This window comes from Homo sapiens, chromosome 2 (assembly GCF_000001405.40).
Source record: "Homo sapiens chromosome 2, GRCh38.p14 Primary Assembly".
Taxonomy (NCBI): domain Eukaryota; kingdom Metazoa; phylum Chordata; class Mammalia; order Primates; family Hominidae; genus Homo; species Homo sapiens.
In genome coordinates, this window is record NC_000002.12 from 148314011 (window position 1) to 148332682 (window position 18672).

Below are 18672 nucleotides of genomic sequence, written 5' to 3' on the forward strand. Positions count from 1 at the left end.
AGTTGGAAATGCAGAAATCACCCGCCTTCTGCATTGTTCTCGCTGGGAGCTGCAGATCGGAGCTATTCCTATTCGGTCATCTTGCCAGCCACCCTGCTTGTACTTTTTAGCCATCAGTAGTCTTTTCCTTACAGAGAAAACTAGGAAGTAGAAAACTGTAAACTGTCTGTCATAGATCAGCATTTTATAAACATATCATCTCACAATTCCTACAGACATACGCTTCCTCATACTATAGTTTTTCATGTGGCAAAAGGAAATTTTTTTTTTACAGACCTAGATATCTTAACTTCTTTATATTGTATGAAAACAAGATGCCAAAAGTTTATAAACTTATGTTCAGCAATTAATGTTTCAGTGTTATGGTTTTTTTTTTTTTTTTTTTGAGACAGAGTCTCACTCTGTTGCCCAGGCTGGAATGCAGTGGCACCATCTCGGTTCACTGCAACCTCCACCTCCCAGGTTTAAGGGATTCTCCTATCTCAGCCCCCCAGGTAGCTGGGATTACCGGCAGTGCCACCACTCCCAGCTAATTTTCTGTAATTTTAGTAGAGATGGGGTTTCACCATTTTGGCCAGGCTGGTCTCTAACTCCTGGCCTCAGGTGATCCACCCTCCTCGGCCTCCCAAAGTGCTGGGATTACAGACGAGATCCAGCGCATTCAGGGTGGTATGGCCATAGACAAGTGCTGGGATTACAGACGTCTGCCACTGTACCCAGCCTGTTTCAGTAGTTTTTTCTTTCTTAGAAATTATTTAGATATTCAGTAACTATCTCTTACTCAACATAGCATAACTCTAAAGTTTCAAGTTACCAAAACAGTTGGCAACTGTTTTTAGGCATATATATATATGGTTATTTTAGGGATGGTTATTACTGAAAAGCTCATTTATAAGCTTTTATCGACTTATATCCATTCAATTCACTTGTTTGTAACAACTATGTTTGTATTGTTCATGGATATTTCATGAGACATTAAACAAAGCTACCCATTATCTTTTTTTCCTTCTTTTCTTTTTCTGAGGAGAGGGGGACTAAGAACAGAGCCCAAGATTGGAGCCTAGTTAAAAAGAGGACTCAGAGGAGCTTGATTAAAATTTGGTCAAAGGAACTTTTTCCATAGTTCTTTAGCTAGGTTACAGATTGTTCATCTCCATATTCTAGACCAACCTGCATCCTGCTGCTACATTAGTATAAGTAAATCATCATTTTAATCCTGTTACTACCTTGCTGAAATCCCTCTTACGGTCCCACATATCCACTGCCAGAAAAGGATGTAAACAAAGGTAGCATAGCTGAAAGCACCTCACCACAAGCTCAATATTTCCTTGAAGTCTCTTGTTTTACATTAAAAATTCACACATTTTACATTTCACTCCAAAATACATCTGTTTGTTTTAATATAAAAATAATGTTTTAAATCAGGTATCACTTAAATTTCTTCACTTAATTCTTCAAATGTTCAAGTAAAATTGAAGAGTCGGGAAGATGCTTCATGTTTATCCTGGGCCTTCCAGTGGACCATGAGGTATATATTTCTACTTGAAGAGCCCAAGTATACAGAATACATTTTAGGTGACTTTGCTTATTTTTAAGACCCTCAATTATCTGGCCCCAGTCCAACCTTCCCATCTTATATATTGCTGTTTCCCTCCATTAATCCTCTGATAAATCCATTCCTCTACCCATCTACAATTATTTACAACATGCCCACCATGTACCAGGCACTGCATTCTGAAGATGTCTTATAATGTATACCACCCATGTATCTTTACTTTTGTCCTTTCTCCCTACTTGGAGTATCTTCCCTCTTTACTTCGTGCTAATCTTCAAGACTAATTTTAACACCAGTTTCATTAGTCCGTTCTCACATAACTGTAAAGAACTGCCTAAGACTGGGTACTTCATAAAGAAAAGTGGTTTGATTGACTCACAGTTCCATAGGCTGTACAGGAAGCATGGCTGGGGAAGCCTCAAGAAACTTAAAATCATTGTAGAAGGTGAAGGGGAAGCAGGCATGTGTTACATGGTCAGAGTAGGAGGAAGAGAGCAAAGAGGCTGGTGCTACATACTTTTAAACAACCAGATCTCATGAGAACTCACTTCTTATCATGAGAACAGCCAGGGGAAAATCTACCCCCATGATCCAATCACCTCCTACCAGGGCACTCCTCCAACACTGGTGATTGCAATTTGACATGAGATTTGGATGGGGACACAAATCCAAATCACAACACCTGCTTTTCCTGACTACCCCAATCAGGACTCTGAATTCCTATAAAACTTACTTGATACTTATTATATAATAGTCTATATTCTTGATATTTGTATGAGTAGGTCTTGTAAATGTTTTAAGGAAGAGTTTGTCATGCTGAGAAGCATGTAGATTACATTGGGTATATAAGATGAAAGTAAACATGTATTTATAGTTTCTTATTTATTATATGCAATCTCATATCCTCAGCTTGCTACCAAATCAGTGGGCATTTAGGAGTTGTTCCCACCAGTAATATAACATTATAACCCTTGAAATAGACCCATTCAGTGACTCAAGATTTAAGTTAAAGTGTAGTGATACTTTACATTTCTTAAATAAAATCATCATATTTCTTAAAAAAATTAAACCCAGAATCTAGCATAATACTTGGTTCATAGTTGATATCCAATAAATACTTCTTACAATAATAAATGAATGGATGAACAAATTAAAAAAATGAAGTTGATGGTTAATAATAAAAATATTTTTAAAAGGAAAAAGGAGGAAAATTGTACATACAAGATAGAAGCTTATTTTACATCAGAGTGTTTGGTAATAAGAAAAGTCAAGAATATTCAGAAGTAAGATTAAGTTGATTAGTCTTTCAGACCAGGTCAGTTTTTTGTGTTGAGCTTGTGCTTTGTTATTTATTGTTTTGAGGTTTTAAAAGCATTTAGATGGGACTAAAGTTACACATCTTCACTTAATGGGAAAAGCATCAGGGTACTTGAAAGCATAGACAATTTTCTTCACAACTTAAACCATGCTAAAAAGGAGATTAATATTATCCCAAAACTCCAGTATAAAGCAGTGGCTCACACCTGTAATCCCAGCACTTTGGGAGGCCAAGGTGGGTGGATCACCTGAGGTCGGGAGTTCAAGACCAGCCTGACCAATATGGAGAAACCCTGTCTCTACTAAAAAATGAATAAATAAATTAAGAAATACAAAATTAGCCAGGCATGGTGGCGCATGCCTGTAATCCCAGCTACTCAGGAGGCTGAGGCAGGAGAATCACTTGAACCCGAGAGGCAGAGGTTGCAGTGAGCCGAGAACACACCATTGCACTCGAGCCTGGGCAACAAGAGCGAAACTCCGCCTCAAAAAAAAAAATTGAGTTAACCACATCTAAAGAACCATGTTTAAAGCCTCTAAAGTAATAGATGGGGCCAAAGTAATTATTTTTAAAAAATTATTTTAATTTTAGTATATTTAGTGGGTACAAGTGCAGACTTTTACATGCATTTATTGTGTAGTGGTAAAGTCTGGGCTTTTATTGTATTTGTCACCCAAATAAGGAACAATGTACCCAATAAGTAATTTTTCAACCCTCATCCCTTCCCACCCTCCCACCTTTTGTTGTCTCTAGTGTCTATTATTCCACTCTGTATGTCCAAGTGTTTCCGTCATTTAGTCCTCGCTTGTGTGAAAACATGCAGCATTTTACTTTCTCTGTCTGAGTTATTTCACTTAGCTGTAATGACCTCCAGTTCCACCCATGTTGCTGCAAAAGACATGATTTCATTCTTTTTTATGGCTGAGTAGTATTCCATGGCATATATATACCACATTTTCTTTATCCAGTCCTCTGATGATGGACACTTAAGTTGATTCCACATCTTTGCTTTGTGAATAGTGCTGCAATGAACACGAGTGCAGGTATTTTTTGATATAATGATTTCTTTCCCATTGGGTATATACTCAGTGGTGGAATTGCTAGGTTGAATTGTAGTTCTATTCTTAGTTCTTGAAGAACTTTCCATACCAATTTCCATAAAGGTTGTACTAATTTACATTCCTACCAATGGTGTATACATATTTTCTATTATCCCCATCCTCTGCAACATCTGTTGTTTTTTCACTTTTTAGTAATAGCCCTTCTGACTGGTGTAAGATGGCATCTCATTGTGGTTTTAATTTTTATTTCTCTGATGATTAGTGATGTTGAGCATTTTTTCGTGTGTTTGTTAGCCACTTGTATATCTGCTTTTGAATAATGTCTGCTCATTTACTTTGCCTACTTCTTAATGTTTTTTTTTTTAATTATTTTTCTTGTGAGTTGTTTGAGCTCCTTGTAGATTCTGGATGTTAGCCCTTTATTTGGATGCAGAGTTTACAAAATTTTTTCCCATTCTATAGATTGTCTGTTTTCTCTGTTAATTGTTTCTTTTGATGTGCAGAATCTTTTTAGTTTAATTTAGTCCTATTTGTCTATTTTTCTTTTTCTGGCATTTGTCTTTGAGAACTTACTCATAAATTCTTTGTCTAGGTCAATGTTCAGAAGAGATTTCCTCGGTTTTCTTCTAGGATTTTATAGTTCCCAATCTTACATTTAGATATTTAATCCATCTTGAGTTAATTTTTGTATATGGTGATATACAAAAATTCTTACGCATATGGCTATCCAATTTTCCCAGTACCCCTTGTTGAATAGGATGTACTTTCTCCAGTGTATTTTGGTTTCTTCTTGAGACAGAATCTCACTCTTTCCCAGGCTGAAGTGCAGTGGTGCAATTTCGGCTCACTGCAACCTCTGCCTCCTGCGTTCAAGTGTTCTCATGCCTCAGCCACCCTAGTAGCTGGGATTACAGACATGCGCCATCATGCCCGGCTAATTCTTTTATTTGTAGTAGAGACAGGGTTTCACTGTGTTGGCCAGGGTAGTGTGGAACTCCTGGCCTCAAGTGATCTGCTAGTCTCGGCCTCCCAAAGTGCTGGGATTACAGGCATGAGCCACTGCACCCAGCCTCTCAGTGTATATTTTTGTTGACTTTGTTGGAGATCAGTTGGTTATATGTGTATGGCTTTATTTCTGGGTTCTCTATTCTGATCCATTAATCTTTGTATCTATTTTTATACCAGTACCATGCTATTTTGGTTACTATAGCCTTGTAGTGTAAACCGGAGTCAGGTCATGTGACATCTCCAGCTTCATTCTTTTTGCTTACAATTGATTTGGCTATTTGGGGTCTTATTTTTTAGACCCATATTAATTTTAGGATTGTTTTTTCTAATTCTGTGAAAAATGGTGCTGCTAATTTGATAGGGATTGTAATGAATCTGTAGATTGCTTTGGGCAGTCTGGTCATTTTAACAATACTGATTCTTCCAATCCATGAGCGTAGGATGTTTTTCCATTTGTTTGTGTCATCAAAGATTTTTTCATCAGTGTTTTGTAGTTCTGTTTATAGAGATATCTCACCTTGGTTAAATATATTTCTAGGTTTTTGAGTGGTTTTTTGTAGCTATTGTAAATGGGATTGCCTTCTTCATTTGGTCCTTTACTATATCATTATTGGCACATAGAAATGCTACTGATATCTGTATGGTAATTTTGTATCCTGAAACTTTACTGGATTCATTGATCAAATCTAAGAGGTTTTTGGTGGAGTCTTTAGAATTTGCTAGATATAAGATCATATCATCAGTGAACAGGGATAATTTGAATTTCTGTTTTCCAATTCAGATACCTTTTATTTTTCTATGTTTCCTGATTGCTGTGGCAAGGACTTCCGGTACTGTGTGGAATAAGAATGGTGAATGTGGGCATCCTTATCTTGTTTCACTTCTTAGAGGCAATTCTTTCAAATTTTCCCCACCAAGTATGATGTTGGCTCTGGGACTGTCATATATGGCCTTTGTTATTTGGAAGTGTGTTTCTTCTATGCCTAGTTTGTTGAGGATTTTTATCATGAAGGGATGCTGAATTTTATTGAATGCCTTTTCTGCATCTATTAAGATGATCATATGATTCTTGTTCTTAGTTCGTTTTGTGATGTATCACATTTATTGATTTGTGTATGTTGAATCATCTTTGCATAAATCCTACCTAATCATGGTATGTTATGTTTTTGATGTGTTGTTGGCATTCTATTTGCTAGTTTTTTGTAGAAGATTTTTGCATGTATCTTCATCAGGAATATTGGTCTGTAGTTTTGTTGTTGTTGTGTCCTTGTCTGGTTTCAGTGCCATACAGACCTCATAGAATGAGTTAGATAGAATTACCTCCTCCTCGATTTTCATCTGCTCCTGCACTTTTGTTTTATTGGGAGTTTGGGTTTGTTGTTGTTGTTGTTGTTTTTGCTTTTTGTTGTGGTTTGGTTGTTTGACAGAATCTCACTCTGACACTCAGGCTGGAGTGACAGCCTGAGTTATGGTTCACTGCAGCCTCGACCTCTCAGGCTCAGGTGATCCTCCCATTTCACCCTCCCAAGTAGCTGGGACTACAGGTGCATGTGCCACCATGCCCAGCTAATTTTTGTATTTTTTGTAGAGATAGAGTTTCACTATATTGCCCAGGGTGGTCTCAAACTCCTGGGCTTAAGCATTCCACCTGCCTTGGCCTCCCAAAGTGCTGGGACTATAGGCATGAGCCACCACACCCAGCCCTGTTGGGACATTTTTTTATTTACTGACTTAATCTTGCTGTTCATTATTAATCTGTTCAAGGGCTCTATTTCTTCCTGGTTCAACCTCAGGAGGTTGTATGTTTCTATCCCTCTAGGTTTTCTAGTTTTTGAGCATATAGTTGTTCATAATAGTTTGATAATCTTTTGTATTTCTGTGGTATCAGTTGTAATGTCTCCCTTTTCATTTCTGATTGTGTTTATTTGGATCTTCTCTCCTCTTTTTTAGTCTAGCTATTGGTTTATCAATTTTGTTTGTCTTTTCAGAGGAGCAACTTTTCATTTCATTTTTCCTTTTTATTTTTTGTCTCTATTTGATACCTTACATTTTAAATGAAGGGAAACTAAAAAAATTTTTCAAACCTATATGCCAAAGGGAATTTCATAACAAAGGAATTCTGTGGTCAAATTAATTTGGTAAAATATACTGGATTGAACTGCATTATGCAAGCATGTATTGCATTTCTGTAGATGTATATTGTTCAATGAAATATAACTTAGTAAACAGTTACATTATTCCAAATTATTATAGACCAAGGGTGTCCAATCTCTTTGGCTTCCCTGGATCACATTGGAAGAAGAATTGTCGTGGGCCACACATAAAATACACTAACACTAATGATAGCTGATGAACTAAAAAAAAAAATTGCCAAAAAATCATATAAAGTTTTAAAAGTTTACAAATTTGTGTTGGGCTGCATTCAAAGCCATCCTGGGTCTCATGCAGCCTGCAGGCCATGCATTGAACAAGCTTGTTATAGACATTTGAATTGTGTCCTGTCATGCAGATAGGTTCCCAAGGGCCATTTTTGTGGTATCTGTTTTTGTCCCCTAGGTGTGCAGGTGTGGGAAAGCAGACCCACTCAGATCCCTACTAACTTGCCTATGAAAAACATCTAGACTAACCTTCAAGATACCACTAATACATCTATCAATCAATCACAAAAGCCTGGAATTCTGAAAATACTGGATTATAAATATTTTTAAAGCATCCCCAGTACTTTTTTACCTTTGTGCTTTTGCAAACCTTTCCCATTCCATTTGCTTACTCTCTCTTTCCTCTATTTCTATATATTAAAATCCCAACTCTTTTTTTAAGAGATGAAGTCTCACTATGTTACCCAGGCTGGTCTTGAACTCCTGACCTAAAGCAACCCTCCTGCCTCGGCCTCCTAGAGTGCTGGGATTACAGATATGAGCTGCCACCCCCAGCCTTAATTTTTTTAAAATGCCATACTCTCTTTGAACCTTTCTCCAAGCTCTCCAATGGGAATTAAACTATTCCTTGTTTGGTTTTCTCATTCTCACTTTGCATTTATTTCACTGATAGCACATCTAACAATCTGCTTTATTGATCCACACAATTGTTGTGCATGTACTCTACGCTAGACTCCATAATATGACCTCTAGTTCTTCCTCGCTCTGGAGAAGCTCATAGGCTAGCCGAGAAGGCAGATACATAAGCAAATTTCTACAGTGTAAAGTGATATGTATTCATAAAGGTATACAACACTGATGGTAATCGGATTGACCTGAGAAAATATGGACTAAAGTATTTGAATGTAAATTGGCTTATACAACTAAGCTTTTAGCTTCATTTATAACGTTCAAGTCTAAAGTAGAATGTTGTCATTCTTGTTGTACATAACTTACTATTCAACAGCTTGTAAGTGCCTTGAGGACCTGACCTGTGTATTTTTCATTTTTCTATTTCCTATTGTACCTAGTACTACTTTAGTTACCTAGAATACATTCAATAAATGTTTGTTAAATTTCGTTAGTTTCTAAGAGTTGCTCATTTTTATGAAATTTGATCTTAATCTGCAGTTTAATCTATCTTCATATTCAGACTCCTATTTTTTCCTACTTTAAAATGTAATTGTAGGGAAGGAGACAACACACAAGACTTACATACCTTGATTATTATTTGACTTTCTCAGTGGCAGTTTGGAAACTGTAGACTTACTCCATGTGCATTGCCTTTGCACAAAATATTTACGGAATTGCTTTTGTTCCACACTATTTTGAACACACATGTTAGTTTCATCAGAATTCTTAGTCCAACTAAATGTCATCTAAAACTAAGTTTAGTGAGTCAAAAGTTATATATATAACTTTTATACATAAAAACCTGATGAAGTAGATGCAAAAGTTATATATATCTTTATTTATTTATTTATTATTATTATACTTTAAGTTTTAGGGTACATGTGCACAATGTGCAGGTTAGTTACCTATGTATACATGTGCCATGCTGGTGCGCTGCACCCACTAACTCGTCATCTAGCATTAGGTATATCTCCCAATGCTATCCCTCCCCACTCCCCCAACCCCACAACAGTCCCCAGACTGTGATGTTCCCCTTCCTGTGTCCATGTGTTCTCATTGTACAATTCCCACCTAGGAATGAGAATATGCGGTGTTTGGTTTTTTGTTCTTGCGATAGTTTACTGAGAATGATGATTTCCAATTTCATCCATGTCCCTACAAAGGACATGAACTCATCATTTTTTATGGCTGCATAGTATTCCATGGTGTATATGTGCCACATTTTCTTAATCCAGACTATGATTGTTGGACATTTGGGTTGGTTCCAAGTCTTTGCTATTCTGAATAATGCTGCAATAAACATATGTGTGCATGTGTCTTTATAGCAGCATGATTTATAGTCCTTTGGGTATATACCCAGTAATGGGATGGCTGGGTCAAATGGTATTTCTAGTTCTAGATCCCTGAGGAATCGCCACACTGACTTCCACAACGGTTGAACTAGTTTACAGTCCCACCAACAGTGTAAAAGTGTTCCTATTTCTCCACATCCTCTCCAGCACCTGTTGTTTCCTGACTTTTTAATGATCGCCATTCTAACTGGTGTGAGATGGTATCTCACTGTGGTTTTGATTTGCATTTCTCTGATGGCCAGTGATGGTGAGCATTTTTTCATGTGTTTTTTGGCTGCATAAATGTCTTCTTTTGAGAAGTGTCTGTTCATGTCCTTTGCCCACTTTTTGATGGGGTTGTTTGTTTTTTTCTTGTAAATTTGAGTTCATTGTAGATTGTGGATATTAGCCCTTTGTCAGATGAGTAGGTTGCAAAAATTTTCTCCCATTTTGTAGGTTGCCTGTTCACTCTGATGGTAGTTTATTTTGCTGTGCAGAAGCTCTTTAGTTTAATTAGATCCCATTTGTCAATTTTGGCTTTTGTTGCCATTGCTTTTGGTGTTTTAGACAGGAAGTCCTTGCCCATGCCTATGTCTTGAATGGTAATGCCTAGGTTTTCTTTTAGGGTTTTTATGGTTTTAGGTCTAACGTTTAAGTCTTTAATCCATCTTGAATTGATTTTTGTATAAGGTGTAAGGAAGGGATCCAGTTACAGCTTTTTACATATGGCTAGCCAGTTTTCCCAGCACCATTTATTAAATAGGGAATCCTTTACCCTTTGCTTTTTTTTCTCAGGTTTGTCAAAGATCAGGTAGTTGTAGATATGTGGCGTTATTTCTGAGGGCTCTGTTCTGTTCCATTGATCTATATCTCTGTTTTGGTACCAGTACCATGCTGTTTTGGTTACTGTAGCCTTGTAGTATAGTTTGAAGTCAGGTAGTGTGATGCCTCTAGCTTTGTTCTTTTGGCTCAGGATTGACTTGCCGGCTCTTTTGTGGTTCCATATGAACTTTAAAGTAGTTTTTTCCAATTCTGTGAAGAAAGGCATTGGTAGCTTGATGGGGATGGCATTGAATCTCTAAATTACCTTGGGCAGTATGGCCATTTTCACAATATTTATTCTTCCTACCCATGAGCATGGAATGTTCTTCCATTTGTTTGTATCCTCTTTTATTTCCTTGAGCAGTGCTTTGTAGTTCTTGAAGAGGTCCTTCACATCCCTTGTAAGTTGGATTCCTAGGTATTTTATTCTCTTTGAAGCAATTGTGAATGGGAGTTCACTCATGATTTGGCTCTCTGTTTGTCTGTTGTTGGTGTATAAGAATGCTTGTGATTTTTGTACATTGATTTTGTATCCTGAGACTTTGCTGAAGTTGCTTATCAGCTTAAGGAGATTTTGGGCTGAGACAAGGGGGTTGTCTAGATATACAATCATGTCATCTGCAAACAGGGACAATTTGACTTCCTCTTTTCCTAATTGAATACCCTTTATTTCCTTCTCCTGCCTAATTGCCCTGGCCAGAACTTCCAACACTATGTTGAATAGGAGTGGTGAGAGAGGGAATCCCTGTCTTGTGCCTGTTTTCAAAGGGAATGCTTCCAGTTTTTGCCCATTCAGTATGATATTGGCTGTGGGTTTGTCATAGATAGCTCTTTTTATTTTGAAATACATCCCATCAATATCTAATTTGTTGAGAGTTTTTAGCATGAAGGGTTGTTGAATTTTGTCACAGGCCTTTTCTGCATCTATTGAGATAATCATGTGGTTTTTGTCTTTGGTTCTGTTTATATGCTGGATTATATTTATTGATTTGCATATATTGAACCAGCCTTGCATCCCAGGGATGAAGCCCACCTGATCATGGTGGATAAGCTTTTTGATGTGCTGTTGGATTCGGTTTGCCAGTATTTTATTGAGGATTTTTGCATCAATGTTCATCAAAGATATTGGTCTAAAATTCTCTTTTTTGGTTGTGTCTCTGCCAGGCTTTGGTATCAGGATGATGCTGGCCTCATAAAATGAGTTAGGGAGGATTCCCTCTTTTTCTATTGATTGGAATAGTTTCAGAAGGAATGGTACAAGTTCCTCCTTATACCTCTGGTAGAATTCGGCTGTGAATCCGTCTGGTCCTGGACTCTTTTTCGTTGGTAAGCTATTGATTATTGCCACAATATCAGCTCCTGTTATTGGTCTATTCAGAGATTCAACTTCTTCCTGGTTTAGTCTTGGGAGAGTGTATGTGTCGAGGAATTTATCCATTTCTTCTAGATTTTCTAGTATATTTGCGTAGAGGTGTTTGTAGTATTCTCTGATAGTAGTTTGTATTTCTGTGGGATCGGTGGTGATATCCCCTTTATCATTTTTTATTGCGTCTACTTGATTCTTCTCTCTTTTTTTCTTTATTAGTCTTGCTAGTGGTCTATCAATTTTGTTGATCCTTTAAAAAAACCAGCTCCTGGATTCGTTAATTTTTTGAACGGTTTTTTGTGTCCCTATTTCCTTCAGTTCTGCTCTGATCTTAGTTACTTCTTGCCTTCAGCTAGCTTTTGAATGTGTTTGCTCTTGCTTTTCTAGTTCTTTTAATTGTGATGTTAGGGTGTCAATTTTGGATCTTTCCTGCTTTCTCTTGTGGGCATTTAGTGCTATAAATTTCCCTCTACATACTGCTTTGAATGTGTCCCAGAGATTCTGGTATGTTGTGTCTTTGTTCTCATTGGTTTCAAAGAACATCTTTATTTCTGCCTTCATTTCGTTATGTACCCAGTAGTCATTCAGGAGCAGGTTGTTCAGTTTCCTTGTAGGTGAGTGGTTTTGAGTGAGATTCTTAATCCTGAGTTCTAGTTTGATTGCACTACGGTCTGAGATATAGTTTGTTATAATTTCTGTTCTTTTACATTTGCTGAGGAGAGCTTTACTTCCAAGTATGTGGTAAATTTTGGAATAGGTGTGGTGTGGTGCTGAAAAAAATGTATATTCTGTTGATTTGGGGTGGAGAGTTCCGTAGATGTCTATTAGGTCCGCTTGGTGCAGAGCTGTGTTCAATTCCTGGGTATCCTTGTTGACTTTCTGTCTCGTTGATCTGTCTAATGTTGACAGTGGGGTGTTAAAATCTCCCATTATTAATGTGTGGGAGTCTAAGTCTCTTTGTAGGTCACTCAGGACTTGCTTTATGAATCTGGGTGCTCCTGTATTGGGTGCACATATATTTAGGATAGTTAGCTTTTCTTGGTGAATTGATCCCTTTACCATTGAGTAATGGCCTTCTTTGTCTCTTTTGATCTTTGTTGGTTTAAAGTCTGTTTTATCAGAGACTAGGATTGCAACCCCTGCCTTTTTTTGTTTTCCATTTGCTTGGTAGATCTTCCTCCATCCTTTTATTTTGAGCCTATGTGTGTCTCTGCCTGTGAGATGGGTTTCCTGAATACAGCACACTGATGGGTCTTGACTCTTTATCCAATTTGCCAGTCTGTGTCTTTTAATTGGAGCATTTAGTCCATTTACATTTAAAGTTAATATTGTTATGTGTGAATTTGATCCTGTCATTATGATGTTAGCTGGTGATTTTGCTCGTTAGTTGATGCAGTTTCTTCCCAGTCTCGATGGTCTTTACATTTTGGCATGATTTTGCAGCGGCTGGTACCGGTTGTTCCTTTCCATGTTTAGTGCTTCCTTCAGGAGCTCTTTTAGGGAAGGCCTGGTGGTGACAAAATCTCTCAGCATTTGCTTGTCTGTAAAGTATTTTATTTCTCCATCACTTATGAAGCTTAGTTTGGCTGGATATGAAATTCTGGGTTGAAAATTCTTTTCTTTAAGAATGTTGAATATTGGCCTGAACTCTCTTCTGGCTTGTAGAGTTTCTGCCGAGAGATCTGCTGTTAGTCTTATGGGCTTCCCTTTGAGGGTAGCCTGACCTTTCTCTCTTGCTGCCCTTAACATTTTTTCCTTCATTTCAACTTTGATGAATCTGACAATTATGTGTCTTGGAGTTGCTCTTCTCGAGGAGTATCTTTGTGGCGTTCTCTGTATTTCCTGAATCTGAATGTTGGCCTGCCTTGCTAGATTGGGGAAGTTCTCCTGGATAATATCCTTTAGAGTGTTTCCTGCAGAGGGGGGGTTCCATTCTCCCCATCACTTTCAGGTACACCAGTCAGACGTAGATTTGGTCTTTTCACATAGTCCCATATTTCTTGGAGGCTTTGCTCGTTTCTTTTTATTCTTTTTTCTCTAAACTTCCCTTCTCGCTTCATTTCATTCATTTCATCTTCCATCGCTGATACCCTTTCTTCCAGTTGATCGCATTGGCTCCTGAGGCTTCTGCATTCTTCACATAGTTATCGAGCCTTGGTTTTCAGCTCCATCAGCTCCTTTAAGCACTTCTCCGTATTGGTTATTCTAGTTATACATTCTTTTAAATTTTTTTCAAAGTTTTCAACTCCTTTGCCTTTGGTTTGAATGTCCTTCCATAGCTCGGAGTAATTTGATCGTCTGAAGCCTTCTTCTCTCAGCTCGTCAAAGTCATCTCCGTCCAGCTTTGTTCTGTTGCTGGTGAGGAACTGCGTTCCTTTGGAGGAGGAGAGGCGCTCTGCTTTTTAGAGTTTCCAGTTTTTCTGCTCTGTTTTTTCCCCATCTTTGTGGTTTTATCTACTTTTGCTCTTTGATGATGGTGATGTACAGATGGGTTTTTGGTGTGGATGTCCTTTCTGTTTGTTAGTTTCCCTTCTAACAGACAGGACCCTCAGCTGCAGGTCTGTTGGAGTACCCGGCCGTGTGAGGTGTCAGTCTGCCCCTGCTGGGGGGTGCCTCCTAGTTAGGCTGCTCGGGGGTCAGGGGTCAGGGACCCACTTGAGGAGGCAGTCTGCCCATTCTCAGATCTCCAGCTGCGTACTGGGAGGACCACTGCTCTCTTCAAAGCTGTCAGACAGGGACATTTAAGTCTGCAGAGGTTACTGCTGTCTTTTTGTTTGTCTGTGCCGTGCCCCCAGAGGTGGAGCCTACAGAGGCAGGCAGGCCTCCTTGAGCTGTGGTGGGCTCCACCCAGTTGGAGCTTCCCAGCTGCTTTGTTTACCTAAGCAAGCCTGGGCAATGGTGGGCGCCCCTCCCCTAGCCTCGCTGCTGCCTTGCAGTTTGATCTCAGACTGCTGTGCTAGCAATCAGCCAGACTCTGTGGGCGTAGGACCCTCCGACCCAGGTGCAGGATATAATCTCCTGGTGCACCGCTTTTTAAGCCCATCGGAAAAGCGCAGTATTCGGGTGGGAGTGACCCAATTTTCCAGGTGCCCTCTGTCACCACTTTCTTTGACTAGGAAAGGGAACTCCCTGACCCCTTGCGCTTCCCGAGTGAGGCAATGCCTCACCCTGCTTTGGCTCGCACATGGTGCGTGCACCCACTGACCTGCGCCCACTGTCTGGCACTCCCTAGTGAGATGAACCCAGTACCTCAGATGGAAATGCAGAAATCACCCGTCTTCTGCGTTGCTCACTCTGGGAGCTGTAGACCGGAGCTGTTCCTATTCGGCCATCCATATATATCTTTTTAGATCAGAAACAACAGGGCATCTTTAATTAAAGTTATCTTTAATTCAAGAATATCATTCTTATTTCATTGTTTTCTGTCTTTTGAAAAAGTCATTATAGCTCAATTTTAAAATTCTTAATTGAATATTTTTAATTGAGAAAATGTATACATACATGCTCATGATCATTTTTGCATTATTACATTCACTGTCATTAGGTAATGATAATAGAGGGTGAGACAAAAATCAGCCTCATTAGCTGATTATCTGACCCTTTACCTAAAGGATCCTAACCTGGAGATAAAACCAAGGATATATCAGATGGAGCAAATACTGTAAAACAACATTTATTTCAACTGCACTTACTCAGTTTCTGAGAAATGAAACAGTAGTTGAGCTGAAGTTTACTTCTCCTTTAGCCAGAAAGAAAAGAAGTGCCAGTCAAATTAATCCTATAGACATAAATAGATAGATAATTTTAAGAAAACAAATGCTTTTTTAAAGGCTGTGAGCTTATTTGGAATATCCATTTACTTTCAATTTTTATTCTGACTTCAAAGTATTTTATAAGTTTATGAAATCATCTTTTTAAAAATATGGAGTAGGTACCTTTTTTCAATTTCCCCTTAATGTTTTATTTATAAATAATAAAACAATTGTACTTCTCCAGACTGTACTAATTAAGCCCAGTAAAATTCACTTATAAGTAATTAGTAGAGAATACATATTTTCATAAGGGTTCAAATAGGTTTATGGAGCATAAATATCACAGGGCAAAAATAGAGATTTGAGGGATACTAGCTTAACCTTTTATGTTTGATGTATAAGAAAGGCAAATGAGCTACTGTCAGAGGCATAACCTGGAATGATTTGAGCAACAATTGCACATTCTTATATTTTATACAAAATATGTATTCACAAATAATATCCAATGTGTCAAGACTTTTAACAGGGTACTTTGGTTTTTATAAAAATTATTTGTAACTGTTACAAGGCATAACTTGCTTTGTGTAGACATTAGGCTTGTTTTATAAAAAATTATGTTAGTAATAACAGTTACCATTTGCATGCTGCTTTGAGTTTACCAAATATTTTTATATCTATCATATCAGTTCATCCCAGAAACATTGAAGATAATACCGATAAGGTAGGCAAGAGTTAAGACTTCCTTGGTTGTAGGTAAGAACCCCCCCCCGCCCCCCCCACACACACACACACACTGCCTAAAGCCCTCCTGCCATACACACACACACACACACACACACACACACTCTACCTTAGGCCAAAAAAGGGTATGGTGGGTCATAGGATGAAATGTTCAGATAGGTTGATATGAGACTCCCAGCTTCTCTCTCTCTGGATTAGCGGCATTTTTAACTCCAGTCTTGGTAGCCCTGACAGTTTTGAGCATCATTGGCCCTGATTTGGCTAAATGCCAATCTCTGGACCCATCACTGTAGACAGAGAGAGAGAAGGATATGCTGATTGACTTTGGCAGCTAGACACATCTCTAGAGGTGGGGTAAGATTTCCAAAGGAAAATCCATATACAGCTACCAGAAGTAGCAGGAAAGAATGGTGAGAAGTCAAACAACAAACATCCACTCCAGCAGATGCAATCATCTCCATTTTACAGATGAGAAAATGGATACTCAGGCTATATGACCTACTCAAATGTAAGTCTTCTCATTACAAATCCTGCTATAGATTTCTTAAAGGAAAAAGGATGGAAAAGAAAAGAGACGTGGTTTCAGGTATGACATCTATTTCTAGTCTATGTTTTGTAGTTAATCAGGCATGATTGTCTTTACGGTGATAAGTGAGTTTGATCTGTGTGGGGTAGTTGAACAAGACATTTGTGTGAAATAAAATGTCCCAAGATCAGTGTGGAGGAGTAGGAAGAGGTGCAGTGGACATGATCCTTATGATCCAAAGTTAGGAATTTTGGAATACTAAATCAAAATAGCTAACAAGTATTAGCTACTTACTATGTCTCAGGCATTTTGGTAATTACTGTTCATGTATCATTTAAAAATCACCACATTCCTATGAAATGAAGATTTTACAGATAAGGGAGCTTAAGCAAAAAGAGGTTTAATATCTTATCCAAGATTATATAACTAGAAAGAAATAGAGCCAGGATTTGAATCTAATCTAGAACCTATGCTCCTACCCACAACAGTGTCTGTTTTTGTCATGGTTACCAAATAAAGTAGTGATGTTTACATATCTGCTATATGCTAGCTTCCATGGCAGATACTTGTCTGGTACAATACCTGTTTTCTAGAAATTTCTCCTATAAAGTTGTATGAGACAGCAATTCATATGCAGCACACTTAAGAATTTATAAATGCCTACTTAGTTTCCACAGATTATTAAAGTTAATTTTATGCTTTTTTAAATTTATCAAAGTTACACATCAAATTATTTAAAAAATTAAGTAGTCGTTCAAGACTTACAACAGCAGTCCCCTGCTCTAAGCTTCCTACCATCAGTTTCCAATCCCCAGATGCAATCATTTTCCATTTTTTTTTTTTTGGTAATTTAAGATTTACTTTTGTAAAGCCATGTGGACAAAGATTAAATATTATGCTTGCATTTTGAACATTATAAATACAAAACACAAAACATCCAGTGTTAAATGCTGATTTCTCATGCCTGATGTGTATTTAGATATTGAGTATTTCCCATTTTATAGAAAGGAACTTTCAAAGTTTTGTCAATACTTAAAGTGTATACTATTATTCCTCACCAAAATCTTCATGAAATTTAAAAGGCTGATATTAAAAGTAGTTTTTTTTCTTAAATATGCTAAAACATGTGAGTTTGGATTAACCTTCAGATTTTCAAGGCATGAAAGATATACAAATAGAGTACCCAATAATATGTTTTAACACAGTTAGGATAAGTTTGTTTACAGTTGTGACAGGAATGCCTTTGACTTTCAGACATTGAAAAAAAATACCCTAAGCAAACATACAGGGTGTTTTGGGTCAAGTTACTTCTTAGTAAAAATAATACATGGTAGCAATCAATTTTTAAGCCAAATTCTTAAAATCACTCAAAAAACACTTGCATTTTATAATTATCAAACAATGAGTTTATGTAACAGAAGATAAAACAAAATCTAGAAATAAAAAATCTCACACTATATTCCAAGTACCAAAATAAGAAAGAAGAAATTTGCAAATTCTTTTTTAACTGTGTCTTTTGGTAATTATAAAACAGAATATCTCTAAATCACATGATTATATTTCTACTTCTTGATTTTTTTTCAATTTCACAGGTAATCTACTAAATCCTTACTATGCAAGCTATAGACTTAGATCTCTTTATTATCTCCTACCCTACTGCCACAAGCACACCATCATTTCTATATAGTTATATAATGATTTTGTTAAGTTTAATATTCAATTGTGCATGTTATTATAATGATACAAACTCAGTTCATAGCTGAACCATATCCTGTATCTAACTCTGCTTTTCCTAAAATTAATAACTGTCTTGTCATTTGCTTGGTTCTCTATGTACTTATTTCTGATTTGGCTGAAAACTGTGTCCCACATAGTACAGATCCCTTTTCACTATCAACTTGAGGCTTCTTTCTGCCCCTGTTTTGAGTTGGATCTCCCAGTTTTCATGTCTTTTCCTTCTTGAGTTGGTCTTGCCTGTCTGAAGATGTCTTTATTGTTTACTGACATTTGATTGATATTGTGGCTGAGTATAGGATTCTGGTTTGTAATTCATTTTCTTTCTGAATTTTTATGTCTTCCCTCCATTGTCTTTTAGCCTCCAGTGTTGAAAAGTTGAAAGATAGTCTGATTTCTGTTTTATCT

The 18672-nt window shown here is 37.5% G+C and overlaps 1 protein-coding gene and 1 pseudogene across 28 annotated transcripts in view; one reads left to right on the forward strand and one right to left on the reverse strand.

The window, feature by feature from the left end:
* MBD5 (methyl-CpG binding domain protein 5) overlaps positions 1 to 18672 on the forward strand; it is a 496045-nt gene that overhangs the window by 293084 nt on the left and 184289 nt on the right. The window contains exon 1 of one of the 28 annotated variants that reach the window (XM_047445082.1): positions 13320 to 16590. The exons of the other annotated variants lie outside the window; for them this stretch is intronic. The gene's annotated coding sequence lies outside the window, so the exon portion shown is untranslated. Of the gene's footprint in view, positions 1 to 13319; positions 16591 to 18672 lie in introns of those variants that run through there. 28 annotated transcript variants of the gene reach the window in all.
* On the reverse strand, positions 17373 to 18028 carry LOC641381 (ARF like GTPase 5A pseudogene; annotated as a pseudogene).